The 22,643-nt window shown below is 40.5% G+C and overlaps 1 protein-coding gene and 1 long non-coding RNA gene across 10 annotated transcripts in view, besides 2 other annotated features; one reads left to right on the top strand and one right to left on the bottom strand.

Moving 5' to 3' along the window:
- CERS3 (ceramide synthase 3) overlaps window positions 1–22,643 on the top strand; it is a 144,289-nt gene that overhangs the window by 85,647 nt on the left and 35,999 nt on the right. For all 9 annotated transcript variants that reach the window (NM_178842.5, NM_001290343.2, XM_011521357.3 and 6 more), the window contains one exon: window positions 2,991–3,144. In NM_178842.5, coding sequence (NP_849164.2) covers window positions 2,991–3,144 — 154 coding nt within the window. The remainder of the gene's footprint in view (window positions 1–2,990; window positions 3,145–22,643) is intronic.
- Window positions 20,193–20,242: an enhancer, noted in NCBI's record as "active region_10169". NCBI's record gives its function as "activates an Ori minimal core promoter by ATAC-STARR-seq in GM12878 lymphoblastoid cells {active_cell/tissue: GM12878}" and the evidence as "EXISTENCE:reporter gene assay evidence [ECO:0000049][PMID:35858748]".
- Window positions 20,353–20,402: an enhancer, noted in NCBI's record as "active region_10168". NCBI's record gives its function as "activates an Ori minimal core promoter by ATAC-STARR-seq in GM12878 lymphoblastoid cells {active_cell/tissue: GM12878}" and the evidence as "EXISTENCE:reporter gene assay evidence [ECO:0000049][PMID:35858748]".
- The window catches only part of CERS3-AS1 (CERS3 antisense RNA 1), a 64,976-nt gene continuing 63,455 nt past the window's right edge, over window positions 21,123–22,643 (bottom strand). The window contains exon 5 of the long non-coding RNA NR_120374.1: window positions 21,123–21,259. This is a non-coding gene — a long non-coding RNA (CERS3 antisense RNA 1). The remainder of the gene's footprint in view (window positions 21,260–22,643) is intronic.

Genomic DNA, 22,643 nt, shown 5'->3' with positions numbered 1-22,643 from the left:
TTTATGTAATGTTAGCTGTCATGGCTGCTTTTGTACTGTAATGGCTGAATTGAGTAGTTGCAACAGAGACCAAATGGTCCAGAGGCCTGAAATATTTATTATCTTTTCCTTTACAAACAAGTTTGCTAACTCTTGATATGTAGCTTTGTTTATTGTTGTGGAAAGCTCTCTGTAACATGTTATTGCATGAAAAAAGTAGGGTACAAAAATCACACATAGGTAGTGATCACCTCGTTACATAAAAGCATGTGGTGATAGGAGGGGCAAAATAGAAGCACTTTAAAGAATATAGTTTTGAGAGAGATATCCTAAATCGTTTAACAAAATATTCTGGGTTACCTGTAAGTTGTGAGACTTCAGGTGATTTTTCATTCCTTAACCTCTATATATTTTTCTGTAATTCCTAAATTTTTAAAAGCAATCGAGTTATTACATCTTTTTTTTTTTTTTTGAGATGGAGTCTTGCTCTGTCACCCAGGCTAGAGTGCAATGGCGTGATGTCGGCTCACTGCACGCTCTGCCTCCCAGGTTCAAGCAATTCTCTTCCCTCAGCATCCCAAGTAGCCAGGATTACAGATACCTGCCACCACACCTGGCTAATTTTTATATTTTTTAGTAGATATGGGGTTTCACCATGTTGGTCAGGCTGGTCTTGAACTCCTGACCTCAGGTAATGCACCTGCCTCAGCCTCCCAAAGTGCTGGGATTACAGGCATGAGCCACTGCACCTGGCCCCTGTTTTTCAAACAAAGAACTTGAACTGATAACTTACAAAAGAAGAAATAGAGCTACTAAGCAGACATAGGGGAAATGTTAAGGCCTTGCAAATAATGTAAACTGAAAGTATTTTATCTTTTAAATTAACAAATTTTGAAACTATTTCATACTGGTTCTGAGTTCAGTGAAACTCTTCTTTCATAAATTGCTGGTGGCCTTATAAATAGTTACAATTTAGGAAAATAATTTGGCAACATTTTAGTACCTTTTAATATACAATCTTGAATTTTAATATCTTTAATGTACACCTTAAAACAGTAATCTCACGTTTAGAAATATATAGTTTCATAGAAATAATTTCAGTTTATGAAAGACTATATACATCAAGTTGTCTAAATAGCATAAAATGTCTTTGATTTAAAGCTAAATGTAATTGAACATAAAATCTCACAAATGTTATGTTTACTGCAGTGGCAAAAATATAGAACAATATGAAGTACCAACAAAGGTATAGAACAACTGACATTCTCATGCTTTGCTGGTGGGAATGTAAAGCTACCACTCTGGAAAATAGTTTTTCAGTTTATTATAAAGTTAAGCATATATTTACCAGATGGCACACAATTCTACCCCTATATACTTACCCTTGAAAAATCAAAACTTCTGTTCACATATAAATATCTGCATGAATATTTATAGCAGTTCTATTCATAAATGTCAAAAGCTGGAAACAACCCAAATGCTCCTCAGTAGGTAAAAAAACAGTGATGCAGCCATAAAGTGGAGTGCCACTCAGTAATAAGAAGGAGCATGCTATTGATAACCATGACAACTGAATGAATCTTAAAAGCATTATGCTGTGTGAAAGAAGGTGGCCTTAAAAGCTCACACAACGTATGATTCCATTTATGTCCTTGGAAGACAGACCAAAGGATACAGAGCAAAGTGTTTGCCAAGTTTATGTGTGGAGGAGGGTGTGGCAATAAAGGGATAGCATCACAGAATTTTTTTGGCAAGATAGGCTGTTCTGTATCCTAATTGTAGTGGTGTTTAAATAAACCTATAGACATATTAAATTCATTGAACAATATACCAAAAAACAGTAAATTTTACTGCATGTTAATAAAAAAATTAAAAAATTGTATAGGAAAATACTGGAAGAGAATGCATGAAAATTACAATATTGTTTGTTTAAGGTGATGGTGTTATGGACAATTTTCTTGTTTCCCCAATGTTACATGAAAAAAATTATTTCTATAACTAATATACTTACAAACAAACCTATTGAAAGACTCTAAATTCATAGTGCTATATAAGTTTGAGAAATAAACAAATAGCCCTTCATATGGCAATAATATCTTTTTTTTTTTTTTTTCACGGAATCTTGCTCTGTCACCCAGGCTGGAGTGCAGTGGCACAATCTCGGCTCACTGCAACCTCCACCTCCCAGGTTCAAGCAATTCTTTTGCCTCAGCCTCCCCAGTAGCTGGGATTACAGGTGCATGCCACCACACCCAGCTAATTTTTGCATTTTTAGTACAAATGGGGTTTTGCCATGTTGGCCAGGCTGGTCTCAAACTCCTGACCTCAGGTGATCTGTCCACCTTGGCCTCCCAAAGTGCTGGTATTACAGGCATGAGCCACCATGCCCGGCCCATATGGCAATAATATCTGAAGACACTGTGCATCTTAGGTCATCAGGAGCAGTTCAAATTGTGTCCAGGAGCCTGTTTATGAAACTAATAAAGCATACAATTTACTTTAGGAAGCAGAAGTGTTAAGTACTCATGGAATTTTTGCTTTGTTAAAGCTTCTTTTATTTGGAAAATGTACTTTTGTAGAATTCTCTATTCACCTTTGATGCCAAATAAATGAGATTGTGTTTTAAGGCAATAATAACCTCATGTAAACATGCATTATCTTATTTGTTCTTCAAAATCCTCTAGCCCCATCACCAGAAGGTAAAAATGGTTAGTGTATGCTTTTGTTTGAAAAAAGGAAACCAAGGTACAGAAACATTCCAGTTTAAACACTGGGTAATAAAAATGCTGTTTCTTTAACTTTTCTTCAGGAAGACAGATTGTACTTTTTTTGTTGCTTGCCAGTAATGATATTTAAGATAATATTATCGTATCTTTTCTTTTGATAATTTTCTGGGCTTTATTAGAAACGAAATACATGTATGGCTTAGGAGAAAAACTATTTGTTTTATTATTGAAAATTCATAGGTGCTTTGGTTGTAATGAAATTCTCTCAACTGTTTGGTGTTTCAGGATTTTATATTGCACGCTGATCTTGCCTATGTATCACCTCGAGCCTTTCTTTTCATACATCTTCCTCAACCTACAGCTCATGATCTTGCAGGTCCTTCACCTTTACTGGGGTTATTACATCTTGAAGATGCTCAACAGATGTATATTCATGAAGGTAAGGGCTGTCCAAATATTATTGCTCTTAATGTCATTGCCAGGTTAATGGTGAGGCCCGGACTGTTGAATGTTCAAGTTAATTCATAGTTTTAACCAGAATTCTTTTTTCTTGATTTTATTATTTTTGATTAAAATTTTGGAAAAATAGAGCTAGATTTTTCATAAGTAGGTCTTTAAGGTGCTTTTAAGAAATTGCTTTTATTAGAAGATATGTTATTTTTGACATTTTTAAAATGTCAAAACTTCAAAAATTATAAAAATTGCTGCTTGTTTTTATGCTTGAAGAAAATTTTTAAACTTTTGCTTATTGATATGTAATATTTGTGCATATTTATGTGATATTTTGTACGTGCATAGAATATGTATTCAGGACATTTGGGGTATCCATCATCTTGAGTATTTATCATCTCTAAGTGTTGGGAACATTTCAAGTCCTCTCTTCCAGCTATTTTGAAATATACAGTGTATTGTTGTTAACTACAGTCACCTGCTGCTGAAGATTGGAATTTATTCCTTTTATCTAACTGTAAGTTTTTACCTATTATGCAGCCTTTCTTCATCTTCTCCCAACCCCACCAACACACCCTTCCCAATCTGGTGTCTATCATTCTACTCTTTGGTATATTGTTTTTTTTTTTCCTTGGGATAAATATGCAGTAGTGAGATTGCTGGGTCATATGGTAGTTCTACATTTAGTTTTTGAGAAATCTGCATTCCGTTTTCCATAGAGATTGTACTAATTTACATTCCCACAAACAGTGTATAAGAGTTCCCTCTTCTTTACATTCTCACCAGTGTCTTTCAATCACTTTTTGCCTTTTTAATAATAACAGTTTTAACTGGGGTGAGATGATATCTCATTGTAGTTTTCACTTGCACATTTCCCTGATGATTAGTGATGTTGAGCATTTTTTCACATGTCTGTTGGCCACTGTATGTTTTTTCTTCAGAAATATTTATTCATGTCCTTTGCCCCTTTTTAATGGAATTATCATTATTATTTGTTGTTGTTGTTGTTTTACTGTTGAGCTGTTTGAGTTCCCTGTATATTCTGGATATTAGTCCATTATCAGATGAAGGATTTGCAAATATTTTCTCCCATTCAACAGGTTGTCTCTTCACTATGTTGATTGTTTCCTTTGCTGCACAGAAGCTTCTTAGTTTAATATAGTCCCATGTGTCTATTTTGGTTTTTGTTGCCTGGCTTTTGAGGTCTTAGCCATTGAATCTTTGCCTAGACCAATGTCCTGAAGTATTTCCCTGAAGTACTTCCCTTATGTATTCTTCAAGTAGTTTTATATTTTGGGATCTTATATTTAAGTCTATAATCTGTGTTGAGTTGATTTTTGTATATGATGAGAGACAGAGATCTAGTTTCAATCTTCTGCATGTGGATATCCAATTTTCCCCACACCATTTATTGAAGAGGATGTCCTTTCCCCCAATGTATGTATTTTTTTATTTCTGTGAAAAATGGCATTGGTATCTTTTTTTTTTTTTTTTGACAATGCCTTGCTCTGTCTTCAAGGCTAGAGTGCAGGGGCATGATTATGACTCACTGCTGCCTCAATCTCCCAGGCTCAAACAACCCTCCCACTTCAGCCACTCAAGTAGCTGGGACTACAGGCCCATGCCACCACACTTCACTAATTTTTAAAATTTTTCGTAGAGATGGGGTCTCTATGTTTTCCAGGATGGTCTCAAACTCTTGGGGTCAAGCGATTCTCTTGCCTTGGCCTCCCAAAGTACTGGAATTACAGGTGTGAGGCACTATGCCTGGCCAACATTGCTATCTTGGTAGAGATTGAATTGAATCTGTAGATAGCTTTGAGCAGTCTGGTCATTTTAATGATATTAACTTTTCTAATCCATGAGCATGGGCTGTCTTTCCATTTGTTTATGTCCTCTTCAATTTTTAAAAATCAGTGTTTTGTAGTTTTCCTTGTAGAGGTCTTTTACCTCCTTGGTTAAATTTATTCCTAGGTATTTTTGTAGTTATTGTAAATGGGATTCCCTTATTGAGTTCTTTTTCAGCTAGTGTGTCGTTCATATATAGACACTATTTTTTATGTTGAATTTGTATCCTGTAACTTTACTGAATTTATTTATCAGATCTAAGGCTTTTTTTGGTGAAGTCTTTAGGTTTTTCTGGGTATAAGATCGTGCCATCTGCAAAGAGGGACAATTTGACATCCTCTTTTCTAATTTGGATGCCTTTTATTTGTCTCTTGCCTGATTGCTCTGACTTTAATGTCCAGTACTACGTCAAACAGGAGTAGTAAAGTCAGCATCTTTGTCTTGTTCTAGTTTTTAAAGGAAAGGCTTTCAGCCTTTCACCATTTAGTATGATGTTAGCTATGAATCTGTCATATATGCCCTTCATTATGTTCAGTTATGTTCCCTCTATGACTAGTTTGTTGAGAGTTTTTATCATAAAAGGATGCTGAATTTTATTAAATGCTTTTTCTGCGTCTATTGAGATGATCATATAGATTTTATTCTACATTCTGTCGATGTAATGTATCACATTTTTTTATTTGTTTATATTGAACCAACCTTGCATCCCTGGGTTGAATCCCACTTGGCCATGGTATGTTATCTTTTTGATGTAATGTTGGATTTGGCTTGCTAGCATTTTGTTGAGAATTTTTGTATCTATGTTAATCAGGGATATTGACCTGTAGTATTTTTTTGTTGTTGGGTCCTTGTCTGGTTTTGATATCAAGGTAACGCTGGCCTTGTAGAATGAGTTAGGGAGAATTCCCTCCACTTAATTTTTTTTTTTGAATAGTTTAAGGAGAATTGCTGTAAATTCTTCTTTGTAAATTTGGTGGAATTTAGCAATACAGCTATCTGGACCTGGACTTTTCTTTGTTGAAAGACTTTTTATTACTGATCCAATCTCTTTACTTTTTATTGGTCTGTTCAGGTTTTCTGTTTCTTCCTCAATCAGCCTTGGGACGTTGTATGTGTTTATGAATTTAACCATTGCCTCTAGGTTTTCCAGTTTGTTAGTGTATAGTTATTCACTATAGTTTCTGATAATCTTTATATTTCTGTGGTATCAATTGTAATGTGTCTTTTTTGTTTCTGATTTTCTTTATTTTGGTCTTTTCTCCTTTTTTCTTGGTCAGTCTAGCTAGCAATCTATTTTGTCTATCTTTTCAAAAACTAACTTCTAATTTTGTTGATTCTTTGTAATTATTTTCAGTCTCTTTCATTTAGATTTGCTCTGATCTTTGTTATTTCTTTCCATCTATTAATTTTGCATTTGGTTTATTCTTGCTTTCCTAGTTCATTGAAGTGCATCACTAGATTTTTTATATGACATCTTTCTACTTTTTTGATGTAGAAGTTTATTGCTATAAACTTCCCTCTTAGCACTGCTTTTGTTGTATCTCATAGGTTTTGATATGTTGTGTTTTGATTTTCACTTGTTTCAAGAAATGTTTTGATTTCCCTCTTAATTTCTTTCTTGACCTAGTGGTCATTTTGGAGCATGTTTTTTTCCATGTATTCATACAGTTTTCAAAGTTTAATTTCCATGTATTCATACAGTTTTCAAAGTTTCTCTTATTATTGATTTATAGTTCTAATCCATTGTGGTCTAAAAAGATACTACATATAATTTCAGTTTTTTTAAATTTGTTGAGACATGTTTTATGTCCTAACATATGGTCTATCCTGGAGAATGTCCCATGTGCTGATGAGAAGAATGTGTATTCTATAGCCATTGGATGAAATGTTCTGTAAAAGTCTGTTAGGTCCATTTGGCATAAAGTGCAGTTTAAATCCAATGTTTCTTTATAAATATTCCGTCCAGATGATCCATCTAATGGTGATAGGAGGGTGTTGAAGTCTCCAACTATTATTGTATTGGACTTCATCTCTCTCTTTAGTAATATTTGCTTTATATATCTGAGTGCTCTATTGTTGGCTACACATATATTTAGAATTGTATTTCTTGCTGAGTTGATCTCTTTATCATTATATAATGGTCTTTTTTGTCTATTTTTACTGTTTTTTGAATTAAAGTCTGTTTTATCTGTATCTGATATAAGTATAGGTGTTTCTGCTTGCTTTTGGTTTCCATTTGCAGGATTATCTTTTTACATTCCTTTACTTTTAGTCTATATGTTTTGTTTTGTTTTGGTTTTTTGTTTGTTTTGTTTTTTGTTTTTTTTGAGACAGAGTCTTGCTCTGTCACCCGGGCTAGAGTGCAGAGGCACGATCTTGGCTCACTGCAAGCTCCGCCTCCCAGGTTCACGCCATTCTCCCACCTCAGCCTTCCTAGTAGGTGGAACTACAGGTGCCCACCACCACACCCGGCTAATTTTGTTTTTGTATTTTTAGTAGAGACAGGGTTTCACCATGTTAGCCCGGATGGTCTCAATCTCCTGACCTTGTGATCTTCCCACCTTGGCCTCCCAAAGTGCTGGGATTACAGGCATGAGCCACCATGCCTGGCCTAGTCTATATGTGTTTTCACAGGTGAAATAAACTTCTTGTAGGCAGCATATAGTGAGTCATTTTTAAATCCATTCAGCTAGTCTATATCTTTTAAGTGGAAAGTTTAATCTGTTTACATTCAAGGTTAGTATTAATATGTGAGGGGTTATTTCTGTCATTTTATTAATTAATTTCTAGTTGTTCTGTATATCCTTTGTTTCTTTCTTTCTCTCTTACTGTTTATCATTGTGGTTTGGTGGTTTTCTGCAGTGGTAACATTTGAGTCCTTTCTCTTCTTCATTTATGTGTTTGTTCTACCAGTATGTTTTATACTTTTCTGTTTTCATGCTGGTAGATATGATTTTTTCACTTCTGGATGTAGAACTGCCTGAAGCATTTCTTGTAGGGCCAGTGTAGTTGTGATGAATTCCCTTAGTTTTTGCATATCTGGAAAATACTTTATTTCTTCTACATTTATAAAAGATAAGTTTTCTGAGTATAGAATTCTTGGCTAACAGGTTCCCCCCCTCCCCCACTTTCAGGACTATGGCCATATCATCCCATTTTCCCCTGGCCTGTAAGGTTTCTGTTGTTAGTCCGATGATGGTTCCCTTACAGGTGACTAGACACATTTCTGTTGCTGTTCTTAGAATGCTATCTTTGTTTTTGACTTCCAACAGTTTGACTATAATATGCAGTAAAGACCTTTAAGAATCATGTCTATTTGTGAATCTCTGAACTTCTTGTATCTGGATGTCTAAATCTCTTGCAAACTTGGGAACACTTCAGCTATTATTTTGTTAAATAGGTTTCTATCTTTTTTATTTTATTTTCACCTCTGAAACACCAAAAGTTCAATAAGTTGTTTCCCTTACAGTGTCCCATATGTCCTGTAGGCTATGTTCATTCTTTTTTCATTTTTTTCTTTATTTTTATCTAATGGAGTTCTTTCAAAAGACCTGTCTTCAAGTTCTGAAATTCTTTCTTCTGCTTGATCTAGTCTTTTTTTTTTTTTTTTTTTTTTTGAGACAGAGTCTTGCTGTGTTGCCAGGCTGGAGTGCAGTGGCACGATCTTGGCTCACTGCAACTTCTGCCTGCCAAGTTCAAGCAATTCCCCTGCCTCAACCTCCTGAGTAGCTGGGACTACCGGTGCATGCCACATGCCCAGCTAATTTTTTGTATTTTAGTAAAGAAGGGGTTTCACCATGTTGGCCAGAATGGTTTTGGTCTCCTGACCTCATGATCTGCCCACCTTGGCCTCCTAAAGTGCTGGGATTACAGGAGTGAGCCACCACACCTGGCCAATCTAGTCTATTTTTAAAGCATTTGAAAGTATTTTGTATTTCATTCAAATGAATTCTTTACTTCCAGAATTTCTGTTTGGTTCTTTTTTTTACGATCTCTATCTCTTTGGTAAACCTCTCATTCACATTATGAATTGTTTTTCTGATTTCCTTGTATTGTTTATCTGTGTTCTCTTATATCTCACTGAGGTTCTTTAATATAATTATATTGAGTTCTTTTTCAGGGATATCTTAAGTTTGTTTTTATTGGAACCTGTTGCTGGAGAATTATTGTGTTTTTTGAAGGTATTAGATTTCCTTGCTTTTTTATGTTTCCGTGTCCTTAAATTGATATCTACACATCTGGTATAACAGTTGCTTCTTACATTTTTTAAAATTTGTTTTCATAGAGGAGGATATTTTCCTGAAGATGTACTTGCAGTGGTTGTTGGTAGGGAACTTTGGTTGTGATTCTGGGTGCATGCAATATTGTAGTCATTATGTGATTTTTTTTGGCTATAAACAACCTCAGTGGTGTCTGTGAATTTTTCATTGGCTCAGGGTGCAGTTATTGGAGACTGTGGTGAGGTTTTGCTGGGGATGGGAATGCCAAGTGGGCTAGTCCTTGGGCCCCAGTGGTGGCAGCAGTGGGCCAAATGGTCCTGTCCTTGGGCACTAGTGTTAGCAGCTCCAGGCGGGCTGATTCTTGGGCCTTCAGATAGCTTTCCCAGGTGCCAACAGTGGCAGTGATGGGGCAGGAGGTAGGTTGGCCTTTGGGCCCCTAGGCAGAAGCTGTGGCATGGGCAATGGCGGTAGCAGTCACTTAACAATCCTCTGGCTCCCAAGTGGTCTGCATTGGTGTTGGCAGTGGCTGCAATGGGATAGGACGGCCAGTCCCCAGGCCTGCAGGTTGCATGTGCAGGTGAGTACTAGCTGTGGTGATAGCAGCAGGTTAGGTCGGCACAACCTGGGAGGAGTGCTCAGATACCAATCATTGTGAACACAGCCAGTTAATTTCTGGGCCTTCCAATGGTATACTTGGGCAGTAGGGGGAGGGAGTGTGGAACCAGGCGAAGCAGACCTATCCTCAGGCCCTGCTGTGGTGCACGCATGTGCTGGTTGTGGTAGGCAGGGGCAGGGTGCCCTGCTACTGGGAAGAGTGGGGTTACTTTCAGTGGCAGCACCTGCAGGTGGTTGGCTAGGGAGCACAAGCTTCATCCCCAGGTAGCAGCTGTGGATAGGGTAACCTGTCCTTAGGACACTTGTAAATGCATGCTGACTCTACTACTAAGGAAGTGGGGTCACTGCCAGTGGCTTGCACTTTGGCCCTGGTAGTGGCATCCAGCAGTGGGACACATAAAAATGTGTGATGGCACACTACTGGGGATATCAGGGCCACTGTCAATAGTTACTGCTTCAGCCCTGGTAGCAACAGCCAGCCACAGCAGTGCCCCCACATGGGGAATGTCAGTGGGGCTCCAGGAATGTGTAGATGCAGGGACTGTTGTGCTTCAGCACAGGCTGCAGTTTGGCGGAGGCTAGGCTCTCAAAATGGCACTGTGCTGTAGCTGCTTAGGACTCAGGGGGTATGTGGGACCTCGTATGAGCTCCTTCTATGGAGCAATGCTTTTGTGTCAACTCTAGGCAGCTCTCTATGTTAGTCTTATGGCCTGTGAGAGTTGAGAGCCTCTCCTGTGGCTAGGATTGCAGGAGTCCATGATGGGAATGTGGACTACTGAGATCTCTTACTTACCCTTTTCCCACATTGGGGAGTATCTCCAGGTTCTTAGCTGAGCAGACGGTCTTGGCTTCCCTTTCCTTTTTTGCCTTAAGTGTTTCCTGTCACTTCTCTGTTGAATTCTACTCTTCTCTTAGAGGATCTGTTCAAAGTGTGATTATCTACTCGCTATTTGGTTCCTCTGTGGAGGAGGCATGTACCCGATGCCTCTAGTTATTCTCGATTTTGCTGCTTTTTAAAGAATCCCCTAATGAGTCAAAACTTGCTCCAGTTTTGGACAACCTTTATGATGATAATTGAATAATACTTCAGAGCCTTATGTTTATTTTTATTGAATATCCAAATTGCACATAACGCTCTCCCCCGAGCTTGTTCCCCACTAGCCTCTGAAATACTGTCCATCATTTTACTATGCTTTGTTTCTGAAAACATCTTCTCTAAATAATAACAAATTGATTAGACTATTGATTCAAACTTTTAGACTATTGAAGGTTTTTTGTTTGTGTTGTTTTGAATTAGGTTCTGTGCTTTAATTCCAGAACACAGTGAGGGAAAGGCAACAGAGATGAATAAGATAATCCCTGACTTTAGGGGAAATAGCCCACCATCTAGTGGGGGAATGTTCATCTACCGGCAACTAACTATAGCATACAGAATGTCCTGTGGTACATACAGGCCCCAGAAACTTGCCATGGAAGAAAAGCTAAAAAGAGAAATTAACTCAAGGGACCAGGAAATGTTTCATTGAGTGATGGAGTTTGAGTTGAGCCTTTAAAGCAAGTGAAAAAGATCGCATTTCTGCTTTGTCTTAAAATCATAACCTACCACTAAGTGTTGATGAAAAGAGTCAAACTCTGTAAAATATTTGAATAGATTTATCCTGAACCAAATACGAATGACCAGTGGCCCATGACACAGCCGCAGGAGATCCTGAGAACATGTGCCCAAGGTGGTTGGACTACAACTTGGTTTTAGACATTTTAGGGAGATATAAGTCATCAGTCAATGCATGTAAGATGTACATTGCTTTGGTCTGGAAAGGCAAGACAACTGGAAGTAGGGGGCTTTCAGGTCATAGGCAGATTCAGAGATTTTTCTGATTGGCAATTGCTTGAAAGAGTTATTAGATAACTCATTAGATAAGAGCTGAAATCAATAGAAAGGAATGTCTGTATTAAGATAAGGAGTTGTGGAGACCAAGGTTTTATTATGCTGATGAGCCTCCAGGTAGCTGACTTCAGTGCTGTTATGAGACCTTAAAAGGTGCCAGACTGTTAATTCATTCTCTCCTGGATCAGAGGAAAGATCCAGAAAGGAAAGGTGATTCTCCGCAAAATGTAGGTTTGCTCCACAAGAGACAGTTTGGTAGGGCCATTTCAAACTATATCAAAGGAATATATTTTGGAGTAAAATATTTCAATTTCTTTCAGGGGCTGCTATCTATTATGTGATGTTATACTAGAGTCAGGCTGGAACTTGGTGTCTTATTGCTACAAAAGTCAGTCTTAAGATCTCTGTTTTAATGTTACTGATGGTCAGCTGTGCCTGGATTCCAAAGGAAGGAGGGTGTATAATGAGGTGTGTCTGACTCTCACTTCCCATCATGGCCTCAACTAGATTTTCAGGTTTACATTGGAATGTCCTTGGCTGAGAGGGGGTCCATCAGGCAGTTGGGGGTTTAGAATTTTATTTTTGGTTTACATAAGGGAGTTTTCATTAAGGATCTTTTGAGTTGAAAGTTATAGCTGGCTCACATTTAGGTGTTACTATCCGTGTATAATATATACAGCACTATATTGTCAGATTGAGTGACTTGTGTGTACCAAGGATGCTGGCAGTTAGTCTGATAAGCTCAGTTTTTAATCAACTCTTTGATTAATTAGTTTTCCAACTTTAGTAAATGTGCCTCAAAGATCACTGAAGAGTTGGCAAAGGAAATGGAAACTGCCGTAATTGACCTCTGAGTTTTCTACCATCTCTTAGCTTCTAGATCTTCACAGAGGTATGGGAAATTAGCCCACATCTCGGTTAATCTAAAGAAAAAAAAAAAAAAAAACCTGAGAAGTTTCTTCTTGAACTGAATTACTGATGACCTTGTTTTCTTGAGAGCCAACTTTTCCTGTTAAAGTTGTGGTGCCAAAAAAAAAAAACTTTCATTGAATGGTTCTAGTTTATTAAAGTTCTAAATAGCTTTTCTGTGATCTCTGAAAAAGTTGTTTTCATGCACGTCTGTGTGAAGAGACCACCAAACAGGCTTTGTGTGAGCAACAAGGCTGTTTATTGCACCTGGGTGCAGGCGGGCTGAGTCCGAAAAGAGAGTCAGTGAAGGGAGATAGGGGTGGGGCCGTTTTATAGGATTTGGGTAGGTAAAGGAAAAAGGGGGGTTGTTCTCTAGTGGGCAGGAGTGGGGGTCACAAGGTGCTCAGCAGGGGAGCTTTTGAGCCAGGATGAGCCAGGAGAAGGAATTTCACAAGATAACGTCATCGTTAAGGCAGGAACAGGCCATTTTCACTTCTTTTGTGGTGGACTGTCATCAGTTACGGCAGGAACAGGCCATCTGGATGTGTATGTGCAGGTCACAGGGGATATGATGGCTTAGCCTGGGCTCAGAGGCCTGACATTCCTGTCTTCTTATATTAATAAGAAAAATAAAATGAAATAGTGGTAAAGTGTTGGGACGGTGAAAATTTTGGGGGATGGTATGGAGATATAATGGGCGATGTTTCTCAGGGCTGCTTCGAGTGGGATTAGGGGCGGCGTGGGAACCTAGAGTGGGAGAGATTAAGCTGAAGGAAGATTTTGTGGTAAGGGGTGATATTGTGCGGTTGTTAGAAGAAACATTTGTCATTTAGAATTATTGGTGATGGCCTGGATACAGTTTTGTATGAATTGAAAAACTAAACGGAATAAGAGAAGGAGAAAAACAGGTTTTAAAGGACTAAGAATTGGGAGGACCTAGGACATCTAATTAGAGAGTGCCAAAGGAGGTGCAGCATAGCCTTGCCCGCAAAAATTATTTATTTACTTTAAGAGTTAAGAGTGGCGGTTTGGGGATAGCACCAGGAGATATCAGCTGTGATGGCTTGGAGAAACAGTGTAAACTGGCAGTGTAAACAAGAGCAGGGCACGTATGAGTAGTTGAGAATGGTGAATAGGAGTACGACTAGACAGGAGATAGTAGGGATGACAAGTTTTTTGGGGCACAGTCCAAGTTGGTCTGGTGTCTGGAATGAGACTGGGGCCTAATAAAAAGGAGCGTCTATACAGGAGCTCAAATGGGCTGTACCTTGTAGCATTCCAAGGACAGGCCTGAATTCTGAGAAGGGAAAGTGGTAAAAGTATTGTCCAGTCCTTTTTAAGTTGGTGGCTGAGCTTGGTGAGGTATGTTTTTAAAAGACCATTAGTCCGTTCTACCTTTCCTGAAGACTGAGGACTGTAAGGGATATAAAGGTTTCACTGAATACTAAGAACCTGAAAAAACGCTTGGCTGATTTGATGAATAAAGGCCGGTCTGCTATTGGACTATATAGAGGTGGGAAGGCCAAACCGAGGAATTATGTCTGACAGAAGGGAAGAAATGACCATGGTGGCCTTCTTAGACCTTGTGGGAAAGGCCTCTACCTATCCAGTGAAAGTGTCTACCTAAACCAAGAGGTATTTTAGTTTCCTGACTCAGGGCATGTTGAGTAAAGCTAATTTGCCAGTCCTGGGTGGAGGCAAATCCCTGAGCTTGATGTGTAGGGAAGGGAGGGGGCCTGAATAATCCCTGAGGAGCAGTAGAATAGCAGATGGAACACTGAGAAGTTATTTCCTTGAGGATAGATTTCCACGATGGAAAGGAAATGAGAGGTTCTAAGAGGCGGGCTAGCGGCTTGTACTATAGCACAGCCTGCCTTTGCTGGTGTGTGGCGATTACGCCTGGTGGAACTGCCATCCATAAACCAAGTGTGATCAGGGTGAGAAGCAGGGAAGAAGGAAATGTGGGGAAATGGGGTGAACGTCAGGTGGATCAGAGAGATGCAGTCATGGGGGTCAGGTGTGTATCCGGAATAATGTGGGAGGCCGGATTGAAGTCCGGGCCAGGAACAATGGTAATTGTGGGAGACTCAACAAAGAGTGAGTACAGCTGAAGGAGCCGGGGAGCAGAAAGTATATATGTCAGGTGTGAGGAAGAAAATAGATTTTGGAAGTTATGAGAGCTGTAGAGAGTGAGTTGAGCATAGTTTGTGATTTTAAGGGCTTCTAAAAGTATTAAGGCAGCAGCAGCCACTGCACGGAGACATGATGGCCAGCCTGAAACAGTAAGGTCAAGTTGTTTGGACAAAAAGTCTACAGGATGTGATCCTGGTCCCTGTGTAAGAATTCTGATTGCACAGCCCTGCACTTCAGCTGTGTGTAATGAAAAGGGTTGGGATGAGTCAGGGAGAGCTAGAATGGGGGCAGTCTCTAAAGCTGTCTTCAAGGAACGGAAAGAGGAGTGGGGAAAGGATTTAGGATCTTTGGGGTCAGCTACGTTTCCTTTTGTGAGTTTATAGAATGGTTTTTTTAGGATGGCAAAACCAGGTATCTAAAGGTGAAAGTATCTAACCGTGCCTAGGAAGGAAAGGAGTTGTTGTTTTGTAGAAGGTGCTGGGGTTTGAGAGATCAGTCGGACACTATCGGCAGGGAGAGCACGTGTGTCTTTATGAGAATTATGCTAAGATAGGTAACAGGTAAGGAAGAAATTTGGGCTTGACTAAAGTAATGGGGGCTGTCTGTGAAGCTTTGGGGCAGTACAGCCCAGGTAATTTGCTGAGCCTGATGGGTGTCAGGGTCAGTCCAAGTGAAAGTGAAAAGAGGCTGGGATGAAGGGTGCAAAGGAATAGTAAAGAAAGCATGTTTGAGATCCAGAACACAATAATGGATTATGGAGTGAGGTATTGAGGATAGGAGAGTATATGGGTTTGACACCATGGGGTGGATAGGCAAAACAATGTGGTTGATAAGGCATAGATCCTGAACTAACTTGTAAGGCTTGTCTGGTTTTAGGACAAGTGAAATGGGGGAATTGTAAGGAGAGTTTATAGGCTTTAAAAGGCCATGCTGTAGCAGGAGAGTGATAACAGGCTTTAGTCTTTTCAAAGCATGCTGTGGGATGGGATATTGGCGTTGAGCGGGGTAAGGGTGATTAGGTTTCAATGAGATGGTAAGGGGTGCATGATCGGTCACCAAGGAGGGAGTAGAGGTATCTTATACTTGTGGGTTAAGGTAGGGGGATACAAGAGGAGGACGCAAAGGAGGCTTTGGATTGGGAAGAAGGGCAGTAATGAGGTGTGGCTGTAGCCCAGGAATAGTCAGGGAAGCAGATAATTTAGTTAAAGTGTCTCGGCCTAATAAGGGAACTGGGCAGGTGGGGATAACTAAAAAGGAGTGCTTAAAAGAGTATTGTCTAAGTTGGCACCAGAGTTGGGGAGTTTTAAGAGATTTAGAAGCCTGGCCGTCAATACCCACAACAGTTATGGAGGCAAGGGAAACAGGCCTTTGTAAAGAAGGTAATGTGGAGTGGGTAGCCTCCGTATTGATTAAGAAGGGGATGGGCTTACCTTCCACTGTGAGAGTTACTGGCAGCTCGGCGTCCGTGATGGTCTAGGGGGCTTCCGAGGTGATCGGGCAGTGTCAGTCTTCAGCTGCTAAGCCGAGAAGATCTGGGAAGGAGTCAGTCAGAGAGCCTTGGGCCGGAGTTCCAGGGGCTCTGGGAGTGGCTGCCAGGTGAGTTGAACAGTCTGATTTTCAGTGGGGTCCCGCATAGACAGGACACGGCTTAGGAGGAATCCCAGGCTGCGAGCATTCCTTGGCCTGGTGGCCAGATTTCTGGCACTTGTAGCAAGCTCCTGGGGGAGGCAGTTCTGGAGGAATGCCTGGCCGCTGCAGTTCAGGTATTTGGAAGTTCTTGTGTGCTGGAGATGTGGCTGGGGTTTGTCTCACAGTGGAGGCAAGGAATTGCAACTCAGAAATACATTGTTACTTGGCTGCCTCTATTCTATTATTGTACACCTTGAAGGCGAGGTTAATTAAATCCTGTTGTGGGGTTAAAGGGCCGGAATTTAATTTTTGGAGTTTTATTTAATGTTGGGAGCAGATTGGGTAATAAAATTTATATTGAGAATAAGACGGCCCTTTTGACCTTTTAGGGTCTAGGGCTGTAAAGTGTCTCAGGGTTGCTGCCAAACGAGTCATGAACTGGGCTGGGTTTTTATATTTGATGAAAAAGAGCCTAAACACTATCTGATTTGGAATAAAGAAAAAGGAGCGTTAACCTTGACTATGCCTTTAGCTCTCCAGCCACCTTTTTAAGAGTAAATTGCTGGGCAGGTAGGGGAGGGCTAGTCATGGAACAAAACTGTAAGCCGGCCTGGGTGTGAGGAGGGGAGGTGATATAAGTATTATATGGTGGAGGAGCGGAGGCTGAGGAAGAATTGGGACCTAGCTCAGCCTGGTGAGGAGGGGAGAGGTCAGATGGGTCTGTAGAAAAGGAAGATTAGAAAGACTCAGCGACGCTTGGGGTTGGGACTGAGGGGACAGGCGGGAGGGAAAGAAGGAAGATTTGGGATGAGTTGCACTGGGAACACAGACTGGGGGGGACTGATGTGTAAAAGAATGCCTGGACGTCAGGCACCTCAGACCGTTTGCCTATTTTACGAAAAGAATTATTTAGATTTTGTAGGATGGAAAAATTGAAAGTGCCATTTTCTGGCTATTTGGAACCACTGTCAAGTTTGTATTGGGGTCAAGCGGCATTGCAGAAGAAAATAAGGCATTTAGGTTTTAGGTCAGGTGCGAGTTAAAGAGGTTTTAGGTTTTTGAGAACACAGGCTAAGGGAGAAGAAGGGGGAATGGAGGGTGGAAGGTTGCCCATAGTGAAGGAGGCAAGTTTAAAGAGAAGGGTAGAGACACGGAGGGAAGGGGTTCGGGTGTTTTTACCCTCCAGAAAAGCGAGAAAGGGGTTGGGGCGTGGAAGTAAGGGGTTGGGGCACAGAGATAAGTGGTCAGGGTGCAGAAATAAGGGATTGGGGTGCAGAGATAAGGGGTCGGGGCATGGAAATAAGGGATCGGGGCACAGAGATAAGAGGTCGGGGTGCAGAAATAAGGGATCAGGGCGCAGAGATAAGGGGTTGGGGCATGGAAATAAGGGGTAGGGGCACAGAGATAAGAGGTTGGGGTGCAGAAATAAGGGATCAGGGCGCAGAGATAAGAGGTCGGGGTGCAGAAATAAGAGATTGAGGCACAGAGATAAGAGGTCAGGGTGTGGAAATAAGGGATCAGGGCGCAGAGATAAGAGGTCGGGGTTCCTGCCCCTCCCCCAGAAAAGCGGGACTTGCCGCTAAGGGTGAAGGACCAAGGCAGGCATCCCTGCGTGGTCTGACACCTTTGAAACATGGGTGAATAATCAGAGAGGCGTCCCTGCAATGATTAAACACCAAGGGAAGGCTGCCTTCCCTAGTCCGTGACCAGTGCCGGAGTTTTGGGTCCATGGATAAAACATGTCTCCTTTGTCTCTACCAGAAAATGAAAGGAATTGAAATTAAGAGAAGGGAGAAATTGAAGTGTGGTGCCAAGATTGAAAGGAGAAAGAGGTTGAGGGATAGCGAGAGAGGTTCGAGAAGACAGTAAAAAGAGGCCGCTTACCGGATTTGAAATTGGTGAGATGTTTCTTGGGCTGGTCGGTCTGAGGACCTGAGGTCGTAGGTGGATCTTTCTCACAGAGCAAAGAGCAGGAGGACAGGGGATTGATCTCCCAAGGGAGGTTCCCCCCCTCCAGTCACAGCACCAAATTTCACGCACGTCCGTGTGAAGAGACCACCAAACAGGCTTTGTGTAAGCAACAAGGCTGTTTATTTCACCTGGGTGCAGGCAGGCTGAGTCCGAATAGAGAGTCAGTGAAGGGAGATAGGGGTGGGGCCGTTTTATAGGATTTGGGTAGGTAAAGGAAAAAGGGGGTTTGTTCTCTGGTGGGCAGGAGTGGGGGTCACAAGGTGCTCAGTAGGGGAGCTTTTGAGCCAGAATGAGCCAGGAGAAGGAATTTCACAAGATAATGTCATCAGTTAAGGCAGGAACAGGCCATCTGGATGTGTATGTGCAGGTCACAGGGGATATGATGGCTTAGCTTAGGCTCAGAGGACTGACAGTTGTCTTATCTCTGAGTGAGTGATAAAGTCGAAGTAACTGAGACAAGTTAAATAAGAACTGGATCAGTTAGACAGTTTGTACCTGCAGTAGTTGGTGTGAAGGAAAGGCCCTGGACTGAGCCTGTAATGATTGGGTCCAGCCTTCCAGAAGCTCCTGTCCCCATGGAGAAACGGTTCCCTTATTAACTGGTGAGAGACAATAATTACAGGCTTGAAAAGGATCTGGGGGAGTGAAGCTTGGAAAACAGAAGATACCCTAGTTTCATTGTGATTTTCCTATGTCTGATCTCTAATGGGTCATGCCAGGCCTGATTAGAAACCCAGCAGGTTGGGGAGCCATGGACAAGAATTCCTGATTTCTCATGTTGTCCTTTGGAGAAGCTGTTTCCAATTGCAGTTTGACAGGAGTTGTGGAGGCCCCCACAGCCATAATCCTTGCAGTTTGTATGACTTCAGCAGTCTTGCATGTGTACTCTGTTTTCCACAGCAGTGGCAAAACTGGCTGTGAAATCAGCTTATTCCTCCAAAGCCGTAAAGCCTCCTTTTAAAGAACACTATTTGAAGGCATAGTTGCATTGCAAAGGGGAGGAGAGGGCTAGCGGCTGGAGTTAAAATTCTTAGAGGGATAACTAACAAATCCATTTTCAACTCTATTTAATCAGCGTTTAGCATTTAATGCATTTGATTGTTACTAAGGCGACAGATTCTTGGATACTTTACAAATGAAATTGCAGATGTTCATGTGCCTCCAAAAATTTCTTTTAAATCTTGTAACAGAGATTGTGAGTTTGTTCCTTCAATTCCTTACACATGGAAAACTCTCAGTAAGTAACTTTAAATATGCAAAGAATACAAAATTTGGAAAACAAACCACCCTGTTTTGGGTAGCAAGTTACAAAATAATGTATTAATCATTTTTGGTCTCCATGAATTTTCATGGCAGACTGAAAAGAAGGTGATTATACTTTTAAAATAGCATTTTTGGTAATAGTCACATCTTATTTTTTCTAAACAATAAGGTCATTGCATTTGATGAATGAGAACCTTCCACTATTTGCTTTTGCTCTTGAATGCCTTAAAATAAAAATATCACTATAATTTCAAAACTCTAGCTTATATGGACCCTGCTTAGCAGGCATCCTGCTGCTTGAGAACAAGGCTTGGCACTGAAACTTATCTAGTTCCTATAAAATGGTTGATTTTGTGATGAGCTACTAGCCCATACATTACATCAGAAAATATGACAGGCTGACACTCATCTTGTCATTTTCTTTGCTAACATGAGAAGTGCCTTGAGAGGAAATTAGAAGGAAAATAGTATGCTTTTGTTTAATATTACTTAAGAGGACTTGATCATCCTTAAGCTTTTATTCTCTTCTTTCTAAATATCATCCTGGATCCTGGCCAGCTCAAGCATGTCTGTGTGATATCTTGTGCTGGTGAGTAGTCAAGACGTGCGGGGGGAACTGTAGCATGCAGACACAAAAGCCAGCATGGAGAAACCAGCCCCTTGGCAACCTGCCCAGCCATCTGCAACTCAACAGGCAGGATCTCTTCAGTTCATAGAATGACACTTTACATACACTGAACTGTTTTAGCTAAAGAGAGGAACATGCTAACAAACATGAGGAAACCAAAGCCTAGACCAAATTCACACAGTAATTTCATGGCAAAGCCAAGACTAGAACTTGAGTCTCTTAACTTGTAACACTTCACCTTTTAAATTATTCTTTATTTGAGTTAAGGTAAAAAAATTAATAACTAGAAAAACCAGAAAATTAGTTTAAAATACTTGTATGGAGTTATAAAATAGTGAATATTCAAAAATTTTCAAGAGTTAAAATATATATATGTATACACCTACTGGGTACCCACAAAAATTTCAAAAAATAAAAATAAATAGTGAATACAGGCCGGGCACAGTGGCTTATGACTGGAATCCTAGCACTTTGGGAGGCTGAGGTGGGAGGATCACCTGAGGTCAGGAGATTGAAACCAGCCTAACCAACATGGCAAAACCCTGTCTCTACTAAAAATACAAAAATTAGCTGGGCGTGGTGGTGTGGGCCTGTAACCCCAGCCACTTGGGAGGCTGAGGTGGGAGAATTGCTTGAACCAGAGAGGTGGAGGTTGCAGTGAGCCAAGATCACACCACTGCACTCCACTCCAGCCTGGGAGACAGAGTGAGACTCCATCTCAAAAAAAAAAAAAAAAAAAAAGTGGGTACATAATCCAATTGATGAGTAATCAAGATCATAGATTAAAATGCAGCATAAATCTTGTAACTTACTTTTGAACTTTTTGAAAGCATAAGAAAATATTTTGTTTTTCTTCTTTTTTTAATCTCACATCACTTCCAAGTAAAGCGGTTAGATAGCTAAGAGCACAGGTTCTGTGTAGATTGAAACGTCAGCTCTCCCATTCACTGGCAATGTGATCTTGGGTATATTACTTTGTTCATTGCCTCGGTTTCTTCACCTGTAAAATGGGGATCATGATATTAGTGCCTGCATTGAAGGATAAAGCCCTTAGAACAGTGGGTGGCACATAGTAAGCACATGATAAATGTTAGCTGCCATTGTCATGATCAATATGATCAATATTACTACTTTAGCAGGTTCTTTCTACCAAACTACAGAGAGCCTGGGAATGAGTCGTTGTCGGGCAGTTGGCTCTCAGCAAGCCTCTTCATTTTGCTCAGGCAGACAGTGCTGCAGCTGACATTGTGAGTCCTTGACTTGAAACCCAAGGCTCCAGTGACAGTTTTCTAAGCTGTCTTTTGCCAGTTGACTTTCATGACTCACATTCCAGGTGGTCATTTTTGACACATCCTCGTAGATGTCAACATGTTAGGGAAGAACACAAAGTCTGTAACATCCAAGAAGCCTCTAAGTCTATTCTGCTAGTAGGTAAGAGTGAATGTAAAACTGCACTTTCCTGAACAATAATTTATAAAAATATCACAAAGACTGATTGTTGAAATAAAGTATGTTAGAAATGCTGTCAATGTAGGCCAGGTGCGGTGGCTCATACCTGTAATCCCAGCACTTTGGGAGGCCAAGGCAGGCGGATCACGAGGTCAGGAGATCAAGACCATCCTGGCTAACACGGTGAAACACTGTCTCTACTAAAAATACAAAAAAAATTAGCCGGGCATGGTGGAGCGCACCTGTAGTCCCAGCTTCTCAGGAGGCCAAGGCAGGAGAATGGCATGAACCCAGGAGGCGGAGCTTGCAGTGAGTGGAGATTGCACCACTGCACTCCAACCTGGATGACAGAGTGAGACTCCATCTCAAAAAAAAAAAAAAAAAAAGTCAGGAAAGAACAGATGCTACTTCCTATAGGATCATCATGATTACCACATTTAGATGTTGCAGTGTCTCTCTCTGTTGCTGATGATAACAGCGTGTCTTTTCAGCTCTTAATTTTAGGCAAACTGACCTCTGATGGAAAACAGTATACTAGGATGTTTAAATAAGTAAAACAATCTCTTTTTTTTGTACTTTTAGAATCCCCTATAGCTGGTGTCCTATCACTATGATTATGCAAAACTGGTCTGTTAGCATTATTAAAAACATTTTTCTTATTAGCATCTTATTTTATTTATTTATTTATTTATTTTACTTTAAGCTCTGGGATACATGTGCAGAACATGCAGGTTTGTTATATATGTATACATGTGCCATGGTAGTTTGCTGCACCTATCAACCCATCACCTAGTTTTTAAGCCTTGCATGCATTAGGTATTTGTCCTAATGCTCTTCCTCCCCTTGCCCCCCAGCCCCGATAGGCCTCGGTGTGTGATGTTCCCCTCCCTGTGTCCATGTGTTCTCGTTGTTCAACTTCTACTTACGAGTGAGAA

The sequence above is a fragment of the Homo sapiens genome, chromosome 15 (genome assembly GCF_000001405.40).
Source record: "Homo sapiens chromosome 15, GRCh38.p14 Primary Assembly".
NCBI classification, from domain to species: domain Eukaryota; kingdom Metazoa; phylum Chordata; class Mammalia; order Primates; family Hominidae; genus Homo; species Homo sapiens.
This window is presented reverse-complemented; position numbering and strand designations above follow the sequence as displayed.